Genomic DNA, 23,954 nt, shown 5'->3' on the forward strand with positions numbered 1-23,954 from the left:
TCACTGGTGTACAGCTGGTGATTAATAAATGCTTATTGAATTGAATTAACTGTACAGAGATGAAATCACATGGCTATCTACCCAGGGAAATTATAATAATTATAGAGATTAAATTTTATTGAGAACTATGTGCCTGGCATTGCATCAGATAAGCCTTTATTATATATCTCAATTAATTGTCACAAAATTTGTTTTTGACATAGCTACAATTATGTTCCTCATTTTAAAGATGAGTGAAATAAAATCCAGACAATTTAAGTAACTTCTCCAAGGCCTTTGTTTTTCAGCCTATTTTCTGTCTTATCCATAGTGAGTCTATTCTATTGATCTGTCCTCAAATTCACTGGTTCAGTCCTCTATCATCTCCATTGTGCTACTGAGCCCATCCAGCTAGGTTTTACTTTGGTTACTGAATTTTTTCAATTCTACAATTTTCATGTTTTTTTAATGACTGCTACTTCTTTGCTTAGATTTCCTAATTTTTTATTTGTTTCAAAAGAATTTTTTAATTGTTTCTGGGGAACTTTTATAATGACTGCTATAAAATATTTGTCTGATCACTTCCACATCTGCTTGCTTCTCTCATGCATGTTGTGATCTTCCTGGTTTTTAGAATGACACATGACTTTCTATTGTATTCTGGGAATTGTAGATATTCTATTATGAAACTCTACACCCTATTGAATCTTCTGTTTTTAGCAGGAAGTCCCCTTGGGAAGTGCAGTGCAAGGGTTGGGTGGGTGTGTACTTCCAAGTTCCCACTGGGCCCTGAAAACCCTCCCTTGGCAAGAGTGGGACACTGACTCACACTGCTTCATTGCAGATAGGTTGTTCCTATTCTGCTTCCTCTTCGGCTCTGGTGACACCTTCCTGGTGAAACAGGACACCAACTCCCACCCCACTGGGCTCCACTGACACAAGGTAAGGAGAGGGAGGGAAGCAGAGCACCAACTAGCCTGCCTCCCATCACATAATTCTGTCTTGTTGCTACTGGATGGGGGTGGATGCTCAGCTCCCCACTTGGCCCCACTAACACCAGAAAAAAAAGTGCAGCACGGATGAACCCCAGCATGTACTTAAGTCTCATTGCTGCTGGGTCTAGATGGAGACTCAAATCACCACTGGACCCCACTGACACCAACCTGGCAGGAGAATTGCACAGCCTGGTTTCATTTGGTCCTGCTAGCACCATCTGGTAGGAGAATGGAATCTTCTGCCCAGCAGGGGGTAAGGGGTAGAGGGGCATTTTTCCATTGGTGGTTGGCATTTGTCTAGAGTAGGGTAGGTACTGCCAAAATGCTTCCTGGTCCTTTGCCTAGAAACAGGCCTTTGTCAGAGCTTTTTATGTCTGTGCCTGTTTGTGGCTCTGGTTTAAAGGCTTCTACAGCACCTGTGCAAGATACTCAGGAGGAAATAAGAGAGCCCAGGAGCTCACCACAGTGCCATTCCTCAGGTCCTGAAGTCCTGGGCAGCTCGGCCTTCTTTCGCTTTTCAAAGACTTCCAATGCTGGTGTGTTGTATTAAGCCCAAGATTTTTAGTTGTAAAGGACCTACGAGGAATGTATCTACCCCATCTTGGAGGAACCAGAACGATCTAAGGTCTTATAAACTCATAAATAGTGAGGCCAGAATTTGAACCCAGGATGTCTAGTCACAGGAACTGTTTTTTGTTATGCTAAAACTAGTAATAATAAAAACAATTATATATTAGCTTGCTAGGGCTGTCATAATAAAATACCACAGAGCAGGTAGTATAAACAACAGAAATTTCTTTTCTCACAGTTCTGGAGGCTAGAAGTATGAGACCAAGGTGTTGGCAGGGTTGGTTTTTGCTGGGGCCTCTCTCCTTGGCTTGTAGATGGCTGCCTTCTTGCTATGTTCTTATAGGCTTTCCTCCATATGTGTCTGTGTCCAAATTTTCTCTTATTACAAGGCTAGTCACATTGGATTACAGCCCACACAAATAACCTCATGTTAATTACCTCTTTAAAAAAACCTCTTTCTAAATACAGTCTCCTTCTGAAGTACTGGAGGTTAGGGCTTCAACATGAATTTTTGGAGGACACCACTCAGTGTGTAGCAATATGTTATATAACATTATACTATATAGAACAGTATGTTACATAAATGCAGGATATTATAGATATGTATTATATATCATCTGAGAAAAGTAGCCTGAATGTACAATTGGCTCTTGGCATCAGGGTGAATTCACCAATTTGCACATTAACCATGACGAACACCCATTTCCCTGGCCATTTTCCTGAATAACAGGCAGGCAAAGAGTATAGCTGATTGCATGTATGGAAAAGGGAAAAGCTATTGCCCCCTCTAAGCTACTTGGGTTGACAGGAAATCCATTGGCTAGGCCTCCCTTTTTTTCTGAAAAGACACCCCATGGTGTGGCTTCTCCTCTCTTGCCCTGGGAAGGTGACAGTGCTGGAAACACCCAGTGCCTCTTAGCTGCTTGTTGGGGTGATTGGTGATCTCACCGCAAGTCCTGGTGCGTCATTCCCACAGTCACTCCAAAAGCTCAGTCACCCGAAGTACAGCAGCATCCAACAATATGGAACAGTTTTCGCAATGTAATAGTAAGATTCAGAAGTAAGCACCAAAACACTGCATGCAGCATGCTACTCTTTTTATAAAGTCAAACATCATTAAAACAAAACTACATAGACTTTGTAGAAAAACTATATAAATACAATAAACTATATTTTTTAAAAAGCAAGAGAATGATGAATATGGGATTCAGAGTGATGGCTGCCTTTGGTGGGTAAACATCCAGACAATGAGGTGAGGACAAAGCCATGTAACAGGTGAGGCCTAGTAACTGTGAGGATGCCAGCTTTGGTTTTTGGTTGGTGGGTTCCAAGATAATCACTGCATTATTTGAAATAACAAAATAAAATAATGATTAAATAAATAAAAACGGGGGAAACTGGGTTGCTAAGAGTTGTTGTTGGTCTTTAACTAAGAATTGGGATTATGTATTACTTTCTTCTCTCCTTTTCCTCCAATTACTAAAGAATTCACTGTGTTTCTCAAAGGATAATAGTTTTTCTATAAACATTTTTAGTTTGTAACTGCTCAAGCCAACAAATAGCAGATCAGGAATCAGTTAGGCATATCCTGAGTAATTTTTACCTGAGGAATTTTCAAGCCTAGAAACTCCCAGCCCTAATCTCAGAGATTCTGATTCGACAGCAGGGATGAGGTCTGAGAATCTTTATTTTATGCTGAACTCCAAAGCTATCTCCTAGGAAGCCGTCCTGCCTTCAACGTCTTGATATAGTACATCTCATACATTGTGCACTCACCCTCTAAAATTTCATTTTTATCATATTACTGTTTCTTTGAAAATCTTTACTGTTTCACTATTGCTTGCCAAACCTAAATCCTCTGCCCACCTGCAAAGTCCTCTGCAATCTGGCACCACCGTAATTACCCAAAGTAATCTTACATGTCTTCCATAGTCATAGCTAGATACAATCAAGCTGTTTTCCCCTTGCCACCAATGGGAGTTCATTAGCGCCTCTGGCCTATTTTCCTGTGGCCTTTTCCTTACCTGGAAATCCTTCTCTCTCCTACACCTCTTTAGATTTGGCAAATCTTTCCAGGCCAGATTCAACTCTTTCCTTCCCATATGAGCCATTTCTGACTTGGCCAGCTGTATTAGTCTGTTCTCATGCTGCTAATAAAGACTACTCGGGACTGGGTAATTTATAAAGAAAAAGAGGTTTAATAGAATCACAGTTCCACATGCTGGAGAGGCCTCACAATCATGGCAGAAGACAAAGGAGAAGCAAAGGCATGTCTTACATGGTGGCAGGGAAGAGAGCTTGTGCGGAGGAACTCCCATTTTTAAAACTGTCAGATCTCCTGAGACTTATTCACTACCAGGAGAACAATATAGGTGAAATTGCCCCCTTGATTCAATTATCTCCACCAGGCTCCACCCTTGACACGTGGGGATTACTACAATTCAAGGAGAGATTTGGGTGGGAACACAGCCAAACCATATCACCAGCCCAATAGCCCCCAAATGAACTGTGAAGTGATTGATATATTTCCTTACTTCTTTCTTTACAGATAGTAAGCCTTCATGGAATCACAGATTTTTTTTTTTTCTTCCCCCTCATCTGATTGTGATTTGGATTATGTTGTGGACACTTATGATATCATTCCTACTAGGAACCATTCCTCTTACTTTGTCCCAAGGCTAATGCCTGAGCCACCCTGTTGGAAGTATGACACCCACCATTGATCCTATTCATTTGGGCAGTGTTGCCTTTCTAATCCAAACTAGACCAGGAAGAGATTTGAGACAGTGAAGAAAAACAGTTTGGATATTGTTATCTGTCATGCCTCACGCTCTGGCTAAACAATGAGCAGAGAAAGCCAATGGTCAAATAAAGAAAAGACAACATGGTTGAACAGGAAAAAGCAGAATCCAGGACTGGAGAGAACATTCTGGTGCTGTATGAGTCCCTGCCTCAAGTTCCTCAGTCCTGACTGAATTCTCGTCCTTATATTTAGTGAGGCACCTCAGTCCCAGTGAATAAATTTCCCCCTTTCAGTTTAGCTACTTTAAATAGGATTTCTATTATTTCATCCAAAAGAATTATTCTTCTTTATGCTCCATTCTGCATAGGGCTGACTCACACACCTGGCCATTATTCTGGAGAAACGTTCCTGAGGCTTCCTTCAGCCTGTCAGTTACTAGAAGGAATAATAGGAAGGTGATGACTCCCAATAACCAGTTCAGTCTGCTTTGAGTGAGTGTCCTATGATGCTGGCTGCTAGAGATTTCAAACTCCAACACCTAGGAGAGGAGAGCAGTATTCAAGCACTGTTGCTCTCCACAGACATCCAAGGGAAAGGGGTTGATCTTTAGCCATGGGCTCAGCTCACTCCCTCTTTGCATTCCCCAGATTCTCCCTTTGCTTCTAGAATGGACACTCCCAACATCCTCAGGACTACACTTTTTGATCTCAGAATTCACATTTACTAATTAAAAGAGATAAATGCGGGGTTATATTTTAACGTATTCTGTCAGGTTTGGCAAAACGGAGGGAGAACTAAACCCTATTCTTATCACAGGGAATTTATATTTCCAAACTTTAGAGAAAGAACTATCTCCTTAAAATCTGACTTCAAGGAACAAATCATTCAAACACATATCAGGTCATGCTCTTCTTTCGCGATTTTTACTTGAAATCAGCACATTTACATAGCATACAACCTCATTCTTAAAGGATGGATTTCATGGAGCAATGAGAATTCTGGGCAAATTTTAGATATCTAAAGTAAATTAATTATTTGCTCTGTGACCAATTTAAGGATTTTACATTCGCACCAACCTGGGCTTCACAGATAACATTGTGGCTGGTGTCCCAAGCCACACTGAGATCGTAAAGAAATGTTCCTAGTTACTTTGCACTGAATCTACAAAGTGCACATATTTTTGCCTGCCAAGCATGCACGCCTTTGAAAGACTCCCCTTCTGTCAGTGCTATGAATTCTGTGGTGCCAGTGGTATTTTACCACACAGAATAAACAGCCAGTTGTGGTAAACGGTTAGCAAGGGAATCCTGCAGGTCCCATGGAAAAACTAAAACAATAGGAAGTCAAAAACCATCTCTTGGACACTCTCAGGGTCTCTCCCTGTGGACCAATTAAACAACACATTCAGTTGTTGGCAGTCCTTATTTTCAGAACCACAGGCCCAATTACTGGGCTCCAAGCAGCTACATTTTATAGCTAAAATGATTTACAGCCAATGTTTTTACTGCACAGTACGTTTTCCTCTTTGTTAAGCAAAAGTTCAGAGAGAAGAACCACAACTGAGGAGCAAAAAAGGGGGAAACATGCATGCAGAAAGATCTAACCCACAAAGCCAAATGCAAATTGAAGAAAAAAACAGCAGTCTTTGGACCTCAGCCGCTCTTCTTTTGGATTCAATGCCAAATGTGTATTTAGAGATACCCTGAAATATCACCCATTTAGAATTTATTTTTTGCCTTTGTTAGAAGAGCTGTTTTGCAATATGGTTTGTTGAAATAATATACCTAATTCAGTTATTAAGGACAAAAGCTACCAGCCAATCCATTCTGCTTTATTAATGACCAAGTCCAATTGACTAGTGGAAATCCTTTTTATTGTTTAATGCTCAACCATTAAAAATATTTGCAGTGAAGGATGGGAAATGGAACTCAAAATTTAATATGAATGTAGATGAAGCCTCAAGCCTTGTCTGAAGTCATTAACTGAGGGGGAGGTTTACTTGCTCTAATAGATTTGGCCTACTTGGTAAATAAAGGAGATATCCATGTCACCAATATGATTACCTAGAGTACAAAGCCATCCTTCCCTGACCTCTTTGTTGTAAATGATTTACTGTTCAGAGTTTTGTCTTTGGTAATTAAGAAACTACACATGATGAAAGGAGAAATTAACTCAGACAGTGGTACAGATTTAACTGTTGTAAAAAATCTTCGTACTCAATTGTTTTCATTGGAGAGGAGACGGATTTTGCCCTCCAGGAATCATTTGGCAATATCTGGAGATAGTTTTGTTGTCACCACTAGGACAAAGAAAGCTATTGGTATCTAGTGGGTAGAAGCCAGAGATTTGGTTAAATATCTTACAATGCACAAGACAGCCCCCCACAACAAAGAACTAACCAGGCAAAACTGCCAGCAGAGTAGAGGCTGAGAAACCCTGCTTTATACTTATACATGAATTAATTGCCAGATCCTTTCAAAAATTGAGCTAACTAAAAGCAGGTCTCAATTGGTTTTATCTCATCTGAGGAAAGTGCTTAGGGTAAGGAGGAACTAAGGAAAGGGGTGGGGGTACCTCAGAGGGCGAGAAGAAAATGAAAAGAGCAGTTACTGGAGTTAAACACAAACTTTCCTACAATTCAAATGTTTTCAAAAACCAATTACCCACAAGATCCTTATTAATGATGAGCTGATTATTAGTTTGATGATTCAATGTTTAATTTACTTCATCTTTGTTCTAAAAGATGACTTGGCTCCAGGATTAATATCCAGAATATTCAAGGAACTCAAACAACTCAGTAACAACAACAAAATAATCCAATTTTAAAATGGCCAAATGATTTGAACAGATATTTCTCAAAAGAAAACACAAAAATGGCCAACAGGTATATAAAACAATACCCATCACTCATCAGAGAAATGCAAATCAAAACCACAATGAAATATCATCTCACCCCAGCTAGAATGGCTATTATAAAAAAGACAAAAAATAACCAATGCTGTCAAGGATGTGGAGAAAGGGGAACTCTTATACACTGTTGGTGGAAATGTAAATTAGTAAAACCATTAGGGAAAATAGTATTGAGTTTCCTCTGAAAACTAAACATACAATTACATATGATCCAGCAATTCCACTACTGGATATCTATCCAAAGAAAAGGAAGTCAGTATGTCAAAAAGATACCTGCACTCCCATGTTTATTGCAGCACTATTTACAACAGCCAAGATATGGAATCAACTTAAGTGTCCATCAACAGTTGAATGGATAAAGAAAATGATACATACACACAATGGAATACTATTCAGCCATAATTGTCAGAACATGGATGAGCCTGGAGAACATTATGTTAAGTGAAATAAGCCAGTCACAAAAAGATAAATACTACAGGTTTTCACTCATATGTGAAGGTTAAAATTTTTCATCTCATAGAAATAGAGGATAGAATAGTGGTTACTAAAGACTGTGAAAGATAGTGAGGAGGGGCTAGGGAGAAGTTTGTTAACAAACACAAAATAACAGAAAGATAGGAAAAATAAGTAGTTCTGCGTCCCTTAGCACTGTAGGATGACTCTAGTTAACAATTCATTGCATATTTTCAAAAAGCTAGAATAGAGGATTTTAAATGTCCCCAACGCAAATAAATAAATGAATAAATAAATAAATGTTTGAGGTGATAGATTTGCTAATTATGCTAATTTGATCATTACACACTGTATACATTGTATTGAAATATCACACTGTATATGTGCACTTATTGAGTCGATTAAAAATAACCTTTAAAAGTGATTAAACATGAAAAAACAGATGGCTCCAATCCTCTTTCAATAGGTGTTAAAATTTTGCATGAATTTCTTCTTGACATAAGGAAACAAATTTCTCTTCTTTCTCATTCTCTTGAGGCTTCTTTCTGGACATTTATATCCTAGAACTTAGCTTTTGATATTCAAGACAGAATATAGGCCTTATAATAACCTCTGTATATTTCATTTTAAATCCAATTTTACTTAATTTGCTAAAAATTCTGTAATTTTTTTGCCCATGAGACAGCACTACGAGAAAGGTATCAGCCAATTTAGTAGAGAATTCACATGATATAAGCAGTCCTGGCCCTCTCCATTCTTTGAAAGTATTGATGCCAATATCAGTCTGCCGGACTAGCATTTCTCATCATATTCCCTTAGTAGAGCAGTTTTTTATGTGTTGCCCCAAAAAGTCATACAGTCAAATAAGATAACATTGTATTAAAAATGAGTATTCATACTGACTATGATCCTGCACCTTGCCAAATGTTTTATTCTACATTATAGAATACTTTCTACAATAAGCCAGTGAGATGGGTCTTATTAATCCCCTTGCACAGCTGGGAATTCCTATTGTACAGGGAAGTAACTTGGCCAGGTTTCATTGCTAACACTGAATCTGGGATTGATTTGAGACCAAGTCTGTCCTGTATTCAAACCTGGTGCTCTTAAATACTGTGCTCTGCTACTGGCTTAAGCAGAGTTAAGCAGGATTTCTTTACCACAGAATTTCTCAGACCCTCTGTCTTAGTCTATTCCTACTACTATAACAAAACACATTTGACTAGGTAACTCTTAAACAATAGAAACTTATTTCTCACAGTTCTGGAGGCTGGGAAGTCTAAGATCATGGCAGCAGCAGATTCTGTGTCTGGTGGGGGCCTGATCTATAGATGGCATTGTTTTAAGACATCTTTACATAATGGAAAAGGCAGAAGGGACAAATGTTATGTCTTCACATGGAAGAAGAGGTGGAAGGACAGAAGGGGTGAACAGCTCCCTGTATAAGGTCACTAATGCCATTCATAAGGGCTCCATCTTCATGTCTTAATCACCTCCCAAAGGCCCCACACTTGAATACCATCAAGTTGGTGATTAAGTTTCACATTCAGACCATAGCACCCTTTAACAGGCTGTTTCTAATTCTAAGCTCTAAATTTATTTCTCAAACTTATTTCTCCCATGCACTCTTTTTATCATGAAACAGCCTTCATGATGGATGTTTCATAAGACTTGCCTAGAACAACATCATGTTCTCCACTTGAAAAAAATAACAATAAAAATAAAACCTGTTCAGAAAAAAATCTGAAGAATATCTGACACCTCCTAGTTGTTCCCTAAGTAACCTGAACTGGTGACCAAAGAATCACCACAGTAAAGCCCTGTGAAGCAATGTAAGTGTCATTGGGCTGATCAGAAAGGTACAAATCCTGAGAGTGGAGGCTGAAGAACTTCAGGCCTTTTTAGAGTCTCTTGTAGAATTTAAACCAAGTACACAATTTTCTCCCTATAAGCTTCATGTTGAAGTCTTTACGAATGAACAGCTGGAGAGTATTAAAAGCTGTGGGACTATTTTCCTTCCTGCTAGAACAAAAGACATTAAAATAAACTGCTAAGGGAGGTTTGGTGACTTACAAAGTGACCTGCATTATGAGCACTTTGGTCTGCTGCAAGATTGGTTCATTAAGGCCAAAAATGAAGTGTTACTGTTGAATGAATTCCCACATTTCCATAATAGCATTGTTAGTTTGTTATGCTTTTCAAAACTTTCCTTTGTGTTCCTTACTTTTATAGTCAATATTTAATTGGGAGCATAACTCTGAGAAGAATCAGACTCCGGGAAATAAGGGAAAGTCAAGTAAAGAGCATTATATCCCATAGGGCACATATACTTTAGGAAAGCCAAGAGGAGAAACAGTCAGCAAAATAAAACCAGATGTGAATTTGATATGATTATACCATCCCTTCCAATATGAACAGCACTTTCAAATTCACTTTTTTTTTCATGGAATCAGTTGAATCACTGAATCCTTTTCGAGTAAGTGAAACATTGAGCAATGCTTGCCCAAAAGAATTACGTGAAGCCCACACAGGGCTTTTGAAAATTCATTTGCATTTGAATGATGCAAATTGTAATTTAGTATAATAAAGACCATGTATTCGAGAAGAAGAAATTATATAAACAGCCCCTCCGACTTTCAGTCAAGTCTACTAGTTCTAATCCCAACATGCTAATTTGAATCTACATGTCCCATCAAAAATGTTTTTCTGTAAAATAAGTTATACCCTTTTTGACCCTGCCACACCTGCCTGACTGTGATAGAATCAAATGTGACCGACACATTTGGTTATTTCCATTGAATATATTCCTAAGAATTCCCCATGAACAATGGATACTCCTGTCCAAGTCCTCTTTGGTACAACAGATAGGGCATTGTGGTCCCACAATAAGAGCGAACGTTTCTAACATATATTCAAGTTTGATGTAGAATTAGTAGAGTCACAAATCTGTATTATGAAACATCATATCTTTGCTGGAAAATAATATTTAGAATAAGAATCAGACTACAAACAACTATAAACATAACTATATTTTCAAATACAAATAGGGTAACAGTGCAAAGTTGTCTGATCATTCCTCAGAATGGTTAATTCACATAATGCATAATGTCTGTACCTGAATATTGCAATGTGGTGAGAGGGGGACTATGCTGTCACAATTTGGGGAGAACATGAAGGGGAATTTCCATTTTTCCTCACTGTGCATGTGTGTTCTGTCACTATAGTGTGGTACTTCCTGTCTTCTTGAAGCTGAGCTTAAATTTTTCAAACCACTTTCTCAAAATCACAAGTTCTCAGACTTTAAGGAATCTTAGAAGCCATCTAGTGCCTTCATCCAGCCCTCATCCTCTCCAAACACAAATAACTTCTTAAATGTTGGGCAGAACAGCTCTCTCTAATGGGGAGGCAGCTGAAGACACATAGAGGTAGTTGCATCTCACATTGTGTTTCTGCTCCTAGAAAGTGCTTCCATATAGTTCTGGCATGGTGGCTTATACTTGTAATCCCAGCACTTTGTGAGGCCAACCATGTGCAGGTATCAAAAGGTACCTCTCCTCTGCTTTCTCTATCTCCAGGAATGTGATTTACTATTAACCAAGGAAGATGCTTGAATCATAATAAATCCTTTTTCCTCCCTGGTACACCCTTCCAATGAATCTACTTCCCAGGACATTCTTGAATTCTGTTCCCTCTTCCCCATTTCCCTCCTACTGCCTCCATCCAGTCCATCACTATTTCTCCCAGGGATTGTGTAACTCTCCCCATTTTAGTCTCCCTGGCTCCAACCTCATCTCATCTCCCTCACTGCAGCCAGTGATCTTCCCAAAACACAAGCATGTGCATGTCACATCCATTCTAATCACACTAAAAGACACCTAACTAAACCCTCTTTCCTATCATGTAAAAGGTACCCATACTTGGCCATATTTTGCAGACAAGAATATGCAAACAAATTGCATTCTTTTTTGGAAGAAGTTCGACTTTAATAAAAGAAGCAGTAGTCACAAAGAAGAACCGCAGCTTTACAAAACATTTCCACATGGCTTATCAGTTCTAAGCTGTTAGTTGACAGTAAACATATGGAGGAAACTACAGTATTAAGGCAAAGATTTAAAAGGCCCCATAAAAATACCCGTATATTTAAATAAGAAATTTTCCAGACCCTCATACCTGGGTAAAATCAAAGCACATGTTATTAGATGCCTTTTAGTTTTTAAGAAAGAAGTTAATCTGCCATTTCCCCCATCATTAATAAAGCATGTGGTTACTTTTATGGCTGTCTACCTACTCAGATGATTGGGGGTTTCTGATAGAGTTTTCTAGTAAGGATAAATGCACTGGAGAGAAAAACATGAAAAAATCGTGATTCAGTAACAGAAGCAGAAAACTTTATAACATTTTTTCATTGGGAAGATTAACTTCTATATCATATGAATTGTCTCTATCATGAACAGCATCATACTAGAGATAGAAATGGATTCTGTTAGTCTTCAGTCACTTTTATGAAACAAAGCAGAGTGATTTAATTATATATTCTGAGACTCCAAATAAACTCTCCTTTTCTTGGCTCTTGCAATTTTCAATAAATATACACTAAGAGGTACAACTTTGGAGTTTCTTAACAAGTTCCCAAAAAAAATTTCTGATTTGTCAATTTGTCTAAATTCACTTAGAAAAAATATTTAAAGGATGATATACCAGAGTACACATCAGCAGAGTATCTTAAACAAATTTTCAAATACTCTCATTTGCTTTTGACAAAATCCATAGTACATTCTAATTTACAGTGCTGCAAAACAAGGATGTCTTCTATTTTTTAAAATTTTTATTTGACTTTGAAAGGTAATGAACTTTGCAAAAAAGTAAAATACTAAATTATGAGTAACAAGTGATTCCAGTTAGGTCCCAGGCCTAAAATCTGACTTCCCTCAGCTCAAAGAACTGACACATCCTCTAAAAACACAAACTATTTTTCTTGCATGTTTATAAGTGTTCATGTAAGTGTGGAGCAATAAGTTTTTCTTCTTCATTCAAAACCTGGAATATTTTGGTTCCAATTTGCATTTTTCATTGTCCTTCCACACTTTGGAATCTTAACAACACGCTGGTGAAAATCTCCTAAGCCGTAGCTCAGTGTTGCCAGCAGCCCTTGAATAAGTTTTTCTTTACTTGGTGAAGGTTAAGAACATTCTTTTTAATGGGCCCATTAATGGATATTATCTAAATTGGATTTTCATACTTCTGTGGAAAATCAAACAGAACACATATTTTGCTGGACATATCACAAGCTGTTTGCCCACCCCAGCGACTTGTGAGGATAGATATGTGGACAAGTCACTGACCTGTTTGTCTACATAAACAAGATGATTTGGGTCAAAATTATAATTAAAAATGAAGTTTCATCCTCTGTTGTAAAATACAAAAAATGGACAGGGCATGGTAGCTTATGCCTGTAATCCCAGCAGTTTGGGAGGCCAAAGCAGGAGGATCACTTGAGGCCAGGAGTTTGAGACAAGTCTGGGCAACATAGCAAGACCCTGTCTCTACAAAAAAATAAATAAATAAAATTATCTAGGCATGGTAGTACATACCTGTAGCTCCAGCTGCTCTGAAGGCTGAGGAAGGGAGGATTACTTAAGCCCAGGAGTTCAAGGCTGCAGTGAGCTAGGATCATGCCATTGTACCCCAGCCCAGGTGACAGAGCAGGACCCTGTCTCAGAAAAAGAAAAATAAGCACACACACATACAAAAAAAATTACAATAGTTTTTCTTCTACCTTCTGCCATAAAATTGTTTTTTCATCATCCCCGGGGACTTAGAGGCTATTTCAGATACAGCAGAAAACTTGAACAGAATGAAATGGGGAAGAAAGGGAAAGACATTCTTAAACATGGCATTTGAACATCTCTTTCCTACCTAAATGCAACTGAATGAGGACAATCTTTCTATGGTAGATAAAGAAAAAAATAATACTTGTGAGTGAAAAACAAGAGCACTCTAAGAAGCTGTGTTAACAAAGGATTAACCTACAAAATGCTAGCAAGATAGGGGAGGAAATTATAAGAAAATTAGACTGCATCTCTCCATACTGAACATAATAGTGCAACATTAGGCAAAGATTTTCATAGGTGTTGCCTTTATGAAAATCTACATGCATTTAGCCCTATTATTTAGTACATGTAGAATATAAACATTCTTAAAGACCTCAAAACAGTACTAATTGTGGATGTTTTATTTAAATTTAACATTTTACCAGGATCTGTAATTCATTGATTAAGGATTCATCTCTCTATTTTAGCTCTTGGTTTAAGGGTCCTAGTACAATATATGTCAATACAGGGCTATCTAGAGCATTAATTGAAAATGTCAAAAGTGTAATTTTTCATTACAGCAGAAATAGAATTATAAAAATTAGGTCCTTCAATTATAAATGACATTTGCCACTCTAGTCAAGGTTAGTCTTACATGTGGTTGGGGTCCAAGGTCAAATACAAAAGATTCCTTATTCCAAAATAACTGGTGCAGTTTTGTTTCCACCTTTAGCAAATATTTCCATTGTATTTGTTCTCAGTTATGATAGCCAAAATAACAGCTATATTTTATTGAGTATGTTCTATGTACCAGATAGTGTGTTCAACTCTTCATAATTGACATACATAAAGGAGTATTTAAGCATGGACACCAAAGTCAGACTTCATGCATTTGAACCCTGGCTCATGGGAAAATTACCTAACCTTGCTAAGCCTCAGATTTTTTAATGTAAAATGGATAGAATAATATCTATAAGCTTGTTGTGGAAAAGATGAGAACCATGGTGATTGAGAAAAGCTAAGCAATTTACCAAGATCACACACAGCTAGACCACGGAAGAACCGGACTCAAACCAAGTTCTTCTAATTCCAAGCTTTCTAATTCCTGTAAATTTCCATGGTTCTGAAACATGATCTCTGAGGGTCACTAGGATGGCATGCAGATAGAAGGTACCAAAAAACGATGAAGACACCATCACAAACAGTGTTTCTATTCCTGGGAGAGGACATAGACCTTTGGGGTCTTGGGTGACTTAAAGAAGACAAACCCTATTTAACTCTTAGAATCTTAGGAAATTATATTGATGACAGGTTGTTCATCTGGACGTCACAGGAGCTGATCAAGAGTTTCCAACCACCAGTGCATGACATACCACAGAACTCAAAACAAACAAACAAAATGTATTGAATGAACAGATGATTCAATTAATGAATTCTAAGAAACCTTATATAACCCTACAGTTTATGACAGAAGATGAAGATACATTGCAGGCAAGTTGGAATGGGTTGTCCTGTCCCTTAGTTGTGAGCCTCACAAGGGCAGTGACCACTCTTCAGTGACCACTCTATTTAAACCACTTGACTTATGCTGAGTTAACACTCAGTAAATAATTGTTGAATTGAATTGAATCAAATTGCCACAGTGACCTTCAACTATAACTCAGAGATATTTCACCCCTGCCTATTTTCTCCTAAACTCTCAACATCTAGCAATATTCAATTTGACATGCATTTGGATCCCACCCATATAAAGCAACTGCAAGGCAAAGGCCCAAAGCCTCACAGATCAGACATGTCAACTCAAGGGAAATGGATACATTCCACAGCAAAAGGAATGTTAGTTATTTTAAAAGGCTCTGTTTAATATACAACATAATGTAGGTTTACTGAGGAGTATAATACATGATACTGACCCAGATTTAATGCAGACCTTCCACCTTCATCATAGAATCTAGAAAAGTCTCATTTTTTGTAAGACGTTTGCTTGCATCAACAGCATTATGACTGCAGTGTCTTCTCTAAAATTCTTGGTTGTTTGATCTCAAAGAACATTGATCACCTTTAGGGGCTACTCTCCTAACTCTCTCCATGTTCTCACACCCTCCCACACACACATATACGCCACCCTGAAAGTCACTCTTCTCAATGGTCTGCCATGCTAGAGAGTAGGGCTTGCACATGAAAAAGTAAAATGGCTAGACCTCTGAGCCCATAAGAACCATTTTCTTTGGAGACCTCTCTTCCCACTCTACCTCTAATGTTGCAAATAATATGATCCTGAGGCTACTCCCACTTTAAAGCTGTCTCTGCCCTACAGATGACTGAAATGGGTAGATTAAACTTATTCTTCCTTATGAAGAAATGCTTTCTTATTTTCTTCAGTGTGCATTTCCAAGGGACTTTTTTTCCTCTCCATCCATCTCATTCACTTGCTGCCACTACAATTGCATTTCTACCTCACCTGGAACTCTGTGCCTTCACTCTTTACTTCCTCCTCTCTTTATTTCCTTCCCTACTCAACATAGTCTTTATGGTCTATTGCTTTAACCACCTTTTGCCAACATTCTTGAATTCTTTGCCCTGATGCTGTTCTGTCACATCTGGGAGAACTGCAGCCTCATATCAATCTGCCTTGTCTGTGCCTAGAACCAGGCCACCAAGTATTGCTATATAAAACAAGACAGATGCTTGTATTTGTACCTCTATGAGTCATTGCGTTATTTAACCTCAACTAGGCAACACGGTTCAGCCATCTCTTTTTTTCTAACTCAACAGCAGCTATTTCAAATCTTCTCCTTTCTCCCTAAACCTCTGATCTGTTCCTTCCCTCTCAAAAGTAGACTGCCTATAGAAGCTATCACAGGAAATACTCCAGGTTCCTGCCACAAAACCTACTTACTTTTCCCCTTCTGCTATAATAGCTACTATGTTTTAGTACTTTCTATATTTCGGGTATGATGATAAATGCCTTATTTGGCAAATACTTAGATGGTGCTTACTACCTTCCAGGCATAGTTACATGGTTTGTTTTATCTCCAAGACAACATTAGAAGCACTTTAAATACAGTAACTCATTTAAGTCTCATAACAATCTTATGAAATAGACATTATTATCACCCCTATTTTATAAATCAAGAAACTGAGGCACAAGAACATTTGCTAATGTATCCAAGGTCAGACAAGCAACCTTCTCCAAAATATATGTTCTTAAGCATTCTACTATGCTGCTTTTTATTGTGGTTTATATACAACTATGCATTACATAGTCTCATTTTGTGAGCAAAACATGAGGAAACTGAGGCATAGAGAAGCTCAGTAGTTTCCCCAGTTCATGCAGCTGGGAAGGAGCAAAAGTCAGTTTTGAATGGAGGGAATTAGTCTCCAGAGCCTATGCTTTTCCCACTAGGCTGCCACTGACTTCTCCACCCAAGGTTAATCCTCTCTGTGTTCTGCATCCCAATGCATCCTGTTTTTCAGGAACCTCTCTTCTATAGCATCAGCATATATCTCTATTTATGTTTAATAGACATCAGTCTCCCATCAAAAAATTGTTTTAGAAAGCTCTGCTTCTGTTGGTTTAATTGTCATAACCTCTTACAAGTTCTGTGTGGATAGAACTCACGTTTGGTTTAGTCTTTGTTTTCCAGTGCTTATTGCAGTGCCTGACATGTAATAGCGTGCACAACAATTTCTGTAAAGTGAATGAAGGAGGGGACATGGTCTAAGGAGAAAGAAGGAATATGGAGGCTAGCCACCTGATCCAGCCTAGTTCACCCTAGGGTGAACCTAAGGACTACAAATATTTTACACATGAGCACCACAAAAAAAATTTAAAATGTAACTTCAGGTTTGATAAAGATGGTATAAAGTCAGAATTCCCCACCACCACCATCACCACCCCACCATTCCTGGAAATCAACTAGAAGTACCAAGGAGAATAAGAAACAGAAAAGCAAAATCCATTTTGAACAGTAGTAGAAAATAGTTAAATCCAAATAAAATGAAAAACTTTCAAAAGCATAGAGAAGAGTAATAGGTCACTAAGACTGCAGATCTGAGAAAAAGCCAACAAAGTAGGCTTTTTCAAAGTGAAGGGTACATGAGGTATACCCTCTATTTCCAGTAGGATAGAGGTGCACAGGATGACAGCATTTTCTCTATACCTATTCTCATCTAAAAGAAGCAGGAACTGAATGAAGAATGGCACAAATAAGCCATCTTTGTCTGTTCCTATAATTGGAGACAGGGAGAAGAGAGGTGTTACATTATGAAAAAGAACAAAAACTACAGCAGCCTATCTATCTGTTTTGGTCCAGAGTAAAGGCAAAATAAGTTATAAAATTCTAGATAATAAGAAAAAAATCCATCCAGACTAGAATGCAACACGCCTCCTCCTCCCATCATTCCCCCAAAATGTTGGCCCAGGAAAAATCCATCTCTTTCAACATGAGAAAATTTTAAATGGAATGCATACTAAGAGATAGGTTCACAGGTCATACATTATTATGCTTTATGATTCACATACAAAAAGGATGTACAAAAGGTGCCTCCAAAGGTAATATGAGGATAGGAACTGGAAAAATGATAGCAGAAAAAGAATGTCACCAGAAAAAGGAAGCCATAGATGAGGTAAAAATTTGGCCATAAAGTGTAATGCTCTATCAAGTGAGAGTACTAAGCAATAAGGAATAATTAGTGAGACAATAGTCGGAAGTGAAACAGGAGCTCTCAAATATCAGAAGAACAATAAAAGAAAAAAATAAAATCATCATGAAAGTGACAACAAAACTGTAAAGAACACAAGGGTAAATCAACATTGGCAAAAATGAACACTAAAAGATATAAAACGTAGAAATAAAGGAACAAAAATAAAGAGCTAAAAACAATTAGAGAAAAAATGAATAATATGGAATACAGGTAAAGGAGACTGCAATTATCTGAATGTTTGTGTACCCTCAAATTCTATATGTCAAAATCCTAAACCCCAAGGTAATAGTATTAGGGTTTGGGACTTTTGGGTGTTCCTTAGGTCATGAGGTTAAAGTTCTCATGAATGGAATTAGTACCCTTATCAAAGGGGCCCAAGAGAGACTCCTCTCCCCTCCCACTATAAGAGGACTGTAAAAGATAGCCATCTATAAACCAGCAAGTGGGCCCTCACCAAACACTGAATTTACCAGTGTCTTGATCTTGAACTTCCCAGCCTCCAGAACTGTGAGAAATAAACTTCTGGGGGTTTTGGGGGGGGGGGTTTTGTTTGTTTTTTGTTTTTTGAGATGGAGTCTCGCTCTGTCACCCAGGCTGGAGTGCAGTGGCGCCATCTCGGCTCACTGCAAGCTCCGCCTCCCAGGTTCACACCTTTCTCCTGCCTCATCCTCCCAAGTAGCTGGAACTACAGGTGCCCACCACCATGCCCAGCTAATTTTTGTATTTTTAGTACAGACAGGGTTTCACCGTGTTAGCCAGGATGGTCTCGATCTCCTGACCTTGTGATCCGCCTGCCTCGGCCTCCCAAAGTGCTGGGATTACAGGTGTGAGCCACTGCGCCCGGCCACTTCTGTTGTTTATAAGCTACCCAATTCATGCTATTTTGTTATAAGACCCCAAATAGGCTAAGGCAGAGATCAAACATATAAATAATTGGAGTCTCTGAAAAGAAAATGAAATAACAGAACAGAAATTTTAAGATACAGTTTAAGAAAAAATATTTAGGCCACATACTAAATATCATGGTCTCTGAATTTTATTATTGAGAGAAAAAAGTCAAGTGACAAAAAAGTAATTCTACTATCATTTGTGTTTTTAAGAGAAGATTGATATAGATATCTTATATGTGGTTTTATAAAATATATCAACAAAGATAACAGAAAAACTGGCAATGTTTATTATCCCCATGGGCCATATAATGTAGAGAATATAATGTCTAGGCTAGGAAGATGGCTTTATAATACCTACCATTTTGTGTACCTTTTAATTTTGAACTGTATAAATAGTATTATCTATTTAAAATTAAGCTCTAAAATAAGTAAAATATAAATAAATACTATCCATTTACCTGGTTTATGTTCCTTGTGATTTTAAAAGTTGAAAATTTTAAAGTTAAAATTGAAAATTTCAAATTTTATAGAACACAAAATTTTCTTTTTAATTTAAAATACACATCTGAAGAAATTAAGGCTAGTATCATTATCTCCTTTGAAAGACAAAAAAAAAAAAAAAAAAACTCAGGACCGAAGAGACTAAAAGAATTGACCAAGTTCACATAGCTAATAAGCTAAGATTGAAACTCCAAGTGCTCATAATAATATAAGACTTGCCACGAATAATTAAATCAATGGCCCACTAGAGATGTACTCTCTTTTGGATAGTGACATCTTTGCATATTTTATTAAACAATGCCATTATTGTATTCATTATCTATTTATGCATAATATATTACCCCCAAATGTAGCAGAAATAATAAACATTTATAATCTTTCATAGTTTCTGTGGGTCAAAAACATGAAAGTGGCTTTGCTGGGCAGTTGTGGCTCTGGGATTCTCATGAAGTTGCAACTCAGCTGTTAATAAGGGCCTTAGACATCTGAAAACCTGACGGGCAAAAGAATCCACTTTTAAGGCATTTTACTCACAGGTTGGTTCTCATTGTCAGTCTTGTTTCTTCCATATATGGGCATCTCCACAGGCTGTTTGAGTATCTGCCAAACCTGGCACCTGGCTTCCCACAGAATGTGTCCGAAAGAACAAGGTAGAAGCTGCAATTGTGTCAGCCCTTGCCTCAAAAGTCACATGCCATCGCTTCAGATCATTGGGGCCACCTTGCAGGCCACCTATGCCAGCTTTTTTCTATAAAGTGAAGTTTAGAATGCTGAAATAACATTGTTCATAAGACTGTATAGTTTGAACTACCTTCTGTAAAGCAATTCAGAAATAAAGATCAAACACCTTAAAAATGTTTATATTCTTTGACTAAATAATTTCAGTTCTCAGAATCTATTCCCAAAAAAATCACAAATGCAAAGAAAAATACTATTTAAAATTTCCTATAAGGAAAAAAAGTTTATTTTCTATAAATAAATTTTATTTTTAATAGCCCAGAATAGTAAAATGGTTAATTAAATTCAGGTTAATTAAACCCATTGATGTTAAGATGCACCTTTTCCACATTTTAGCATCTCTGAAATTGGAATATGTCTTATAGTAGTTGGCATATTATTATCCCCATCAGCTGATGGCATTTTATTATCAGTTAAGTACAAAGGAGTTGTCATTACCATGCATGCATGAACATGATGACAGACATTTGTGTTGTCATTACCTCAACTGAATTATGTACATTGTTGGTACCACACATGTTGATTTAGCTGCTATTTAAAATGTCTCCAATATTGAAATTGTCTCAAGTATCTTTTCTAACCACAAAGGTATAAAACTAGAACTCAGTAATAGGAGGAACTTCAGAAAATTTACAAATATGTGGAAATTAAACGACACAGTCCTGAACAACCAATAGATCAAAGAAGAAATCAAAAGAGAAATCAAAAAGTATCTTGAGACAAACAAAAACAGAAACACAACATGCCAAATCTTATGAGCTGCAGCAGCAGCAATGCTGAAAGGGAAGTTTATAGCAACAAATAACCTACATAAAGGAAAAGAAAAGATTTCAATTGCCCTAACTTCACACCTGCAAGGACTAGAAAAAGAAGAACCAACTAAGCCCAAAGTCAGCAGAAAGAGGGAAATAATAAAGATTAGAACAGAAATAAACGGCATAGAGACTAGAAAGATAATAGGAAAGATCAAGGAAACTAAGAGTTGGGGTTTTTAGGGAAAAAAAATCAAATCAACATAATTAAAACACCTTTAGCCAACTTAACCAAGCAAAAAAGGAGAGAAGCCTCAAACAAAATCCTATATGAAAGAAGAGATATGACAACTGATACTACAGAAATACAAAGGATCATCAGAGATTACTATGAACAATGATACACCAACACATTGGAAAACTTAGAAGAAGTGGATAAATTCATAGAAACGTACAACCTACCAACATGCAATCATGAAGAAATAGAAAATCTGAACAGACCATGATGAGTAAGGAGATTGAATAAAAAAACTCCCAATATATAAAAGCTTGGAACTATATGGCTTCAGGGGTGAATTCTACTAAGCACTTAAAGAAGAATTAATGCCAATTTTTCTCAAACTTTTTTAAAAAATTGAAGATGAGGGAATACTTTCAAACTTACCATATGATACCAGCACTACCCTCATAACAAAGTCAGGTAAGGACACAGCAAGAAAAGAAAATTACAGGCCAATATCCCCAATGAATATAAATGTAAAAATCCTCAACAAAATACTAGCAAACCAAATTCAACAGCACGTTGAAATGATCATGCACCCTGATCATGTGGGATTTATCCGAGATGCAAAGATTGTTCAGCATATGCAGATCAATAAACACGATACGCCACATTAACAGAATGAAGTATAAAAAATGAGTATAAACATCTCAATAGAAGCAGAAAAAGTATTTGACAAAATTCAACATCTTTTCATGAGAAAAACTCAACGAATTAGATGTAGAAGAAATGTACCTCAACATAATAAAGGCCACATATGACAAACCCATAGCTAACATCATACTGAATGGGGAAAAACTAAAAGCTTTTTTTCTGAGACCCAAAACAAGACCAGATACCCACTCTCAGCACTTCGGTTTGATATAGTACTAGAAATCCTAGCCACAGAACTTAGGCAAGACAAAGAAATAAAAGGCATTCAAATTGGAATGGAAGAAGCTAAGTGGTCTCTGTTTGCTGATATAGTGTTATCTTACATAAAGAAAACTCTAAAGCCTCTACCAAAAAAAACCTATTAGAACTAGTAAGCAAATTCAGTAAACTGACAGGATAGGAAATCAACATTCAAAAATTGTTAGTGTTTCTATACATTAACAATGAACTATCTGCAAAAGAAATCAAGAAAACAATGCCATTTATAAGATCTTCAAAACATAAAATAAAATACTTAGGAAAAATTTAACCAAGGAGGTGAAAGATCTCTACACTAAAACTATAAAACATTAATGAAAGAAATTGAAGAAGACACAAATAAAAGACACCATTTGTTCATGGATTGGAGGAATTAATATTGTTAAAAATATCCATACTACCCAAAGTAATCTACAGATTAAATGCAATTCCTATCAAAATTCCAATGACTTTTTTAAAAAAATAGAAAAAACAATTCTAAAATTTGTATGGAACCACAAAATTCCCCCAAGTAGCTATCTTGAACAAAAAGAACAAAGCCAGGAGAAATAAATTCTCTGACTTCAAAATCTCTTACAGAGCTACAGTAATCAAAATAGTATGGCACTAGCATAAAAACAGACACATAGACCAATGGAACAAAACAGAGAGGCCAGAAATAAGTCCACATTTCCAGTCGATTGTTTTTTGACCAAGATGCCAAGATCATACAATGAAGAAAAGAAAAGTCTCATCAATAGATGGTGTTGAAAAAACTGCACATCCACATGCAAAGTAATGAAATTAGACACTTGTCTTAAACCACACATAAAAATTAAATTGAAATAAATTAAATATTTAAATGTAATGTTTTAGATCATAAAACTCCTAAAAGAAAACATAGGGAAAAAGCTCCTTGACATTGGTCTTAGTAATGATTTTTTGGACATGACCCCGAAAGCACAGGCAACAAAAGTAAAAATAAACAAGCAGATTCCAATGAACTAAAAACTTCTGCAAAGGAAACAATCGAGAAAATTAAAAGACAACCTACAAAATGGAAAAAAATATTTGCAAACCAAAAACCTGATAAGAGGTTAATCTAAAATATGTAAAAAAATTCATACAACTCGATAGCAAAAAAAAAAAATAAGCCCAATTTACATATGGGTAAGGAGCCTGAATAGACATTTTTCTTTTCAAAGAAGACATGCAAATGGCCAGCAGGTATATAAAAAGATGCACAGCATTACTGGTCATCAGAGAAGGGCAAATTAAAACCACAATGAGATATCACCTCACACCTGATTATTATGAAACAGACAACAGATAACAAGTGCTGGCAAGGGTGTAGAGAAAAGGGGAGCCCTTATACACTGTTGGTAGAAATGTAAATTAGTACAGCCATTATGGAGATTCTTCAAAAAATTAAAAATAGAACTACTCTATGACCCAGCAGTCTCACTTCCGGCTATATATTCAAAGGAAATGACATCAGTATCACGAAGAGATATCTGTACTTCCACGTTCATTGTGGCATTATTCACAATAGCATTGATAGGAAATCGACCTAAGTGTTTATCAGTGGATGAATAACAAATATGTGAGATATATATGTATATGTAATGGAATATTAATCAGCCTTTAAAAAGAAGGAAATCTTGTCATTTGTAACAATATGAATGAACGTGGACGTTGCACCAAGTGAAATAAGCCAGACACAAAGACAAATAGT

At 37.1% G+C, this 23,954-nt stretch overlaps 1 long non-coding RNA gene across 2 annotated transcripts in view; it reads right to left on the reverse strand.

Annotated features, from left to right (window-relative positions):
* Nucleotides 1-23,954, reverse strand: part of LOC105370265 (uncharacterized) — a 94,000-nt gene that overhangs the window by 51,729 nt on the left and 18,317 nt on the right. Inside the window, exon 1 of one of the 2 annotated variants that reach the window (XR_001749925.2) lies at nucleotides 20,093-20,429. The exons of the other annotated variant lie outside the window; for it this stretch is intronic. This is a non-coding gene — a long non-coding RNA (uncharacterized LOC105370265). Of the gene's footprint in view, nucleotides 1-20,092; nucleotides 20,430-23,954 lie in introns of those variants that run through there. 2 annotated transcript variants of the gene reach the window in all.

The sequence above is a fragment of the Homo sapiens genome, chromosome 13 (genome assembly GCF_000001405.40).
Source record: "Homo sapiens chromosome 13, GRCh38.p14 Primary Assembly".
NCBI lineage: Eukaryota > Metazoa > Chordata > Mammalia > Primates > Hominidae > Homo > Homo sapiens.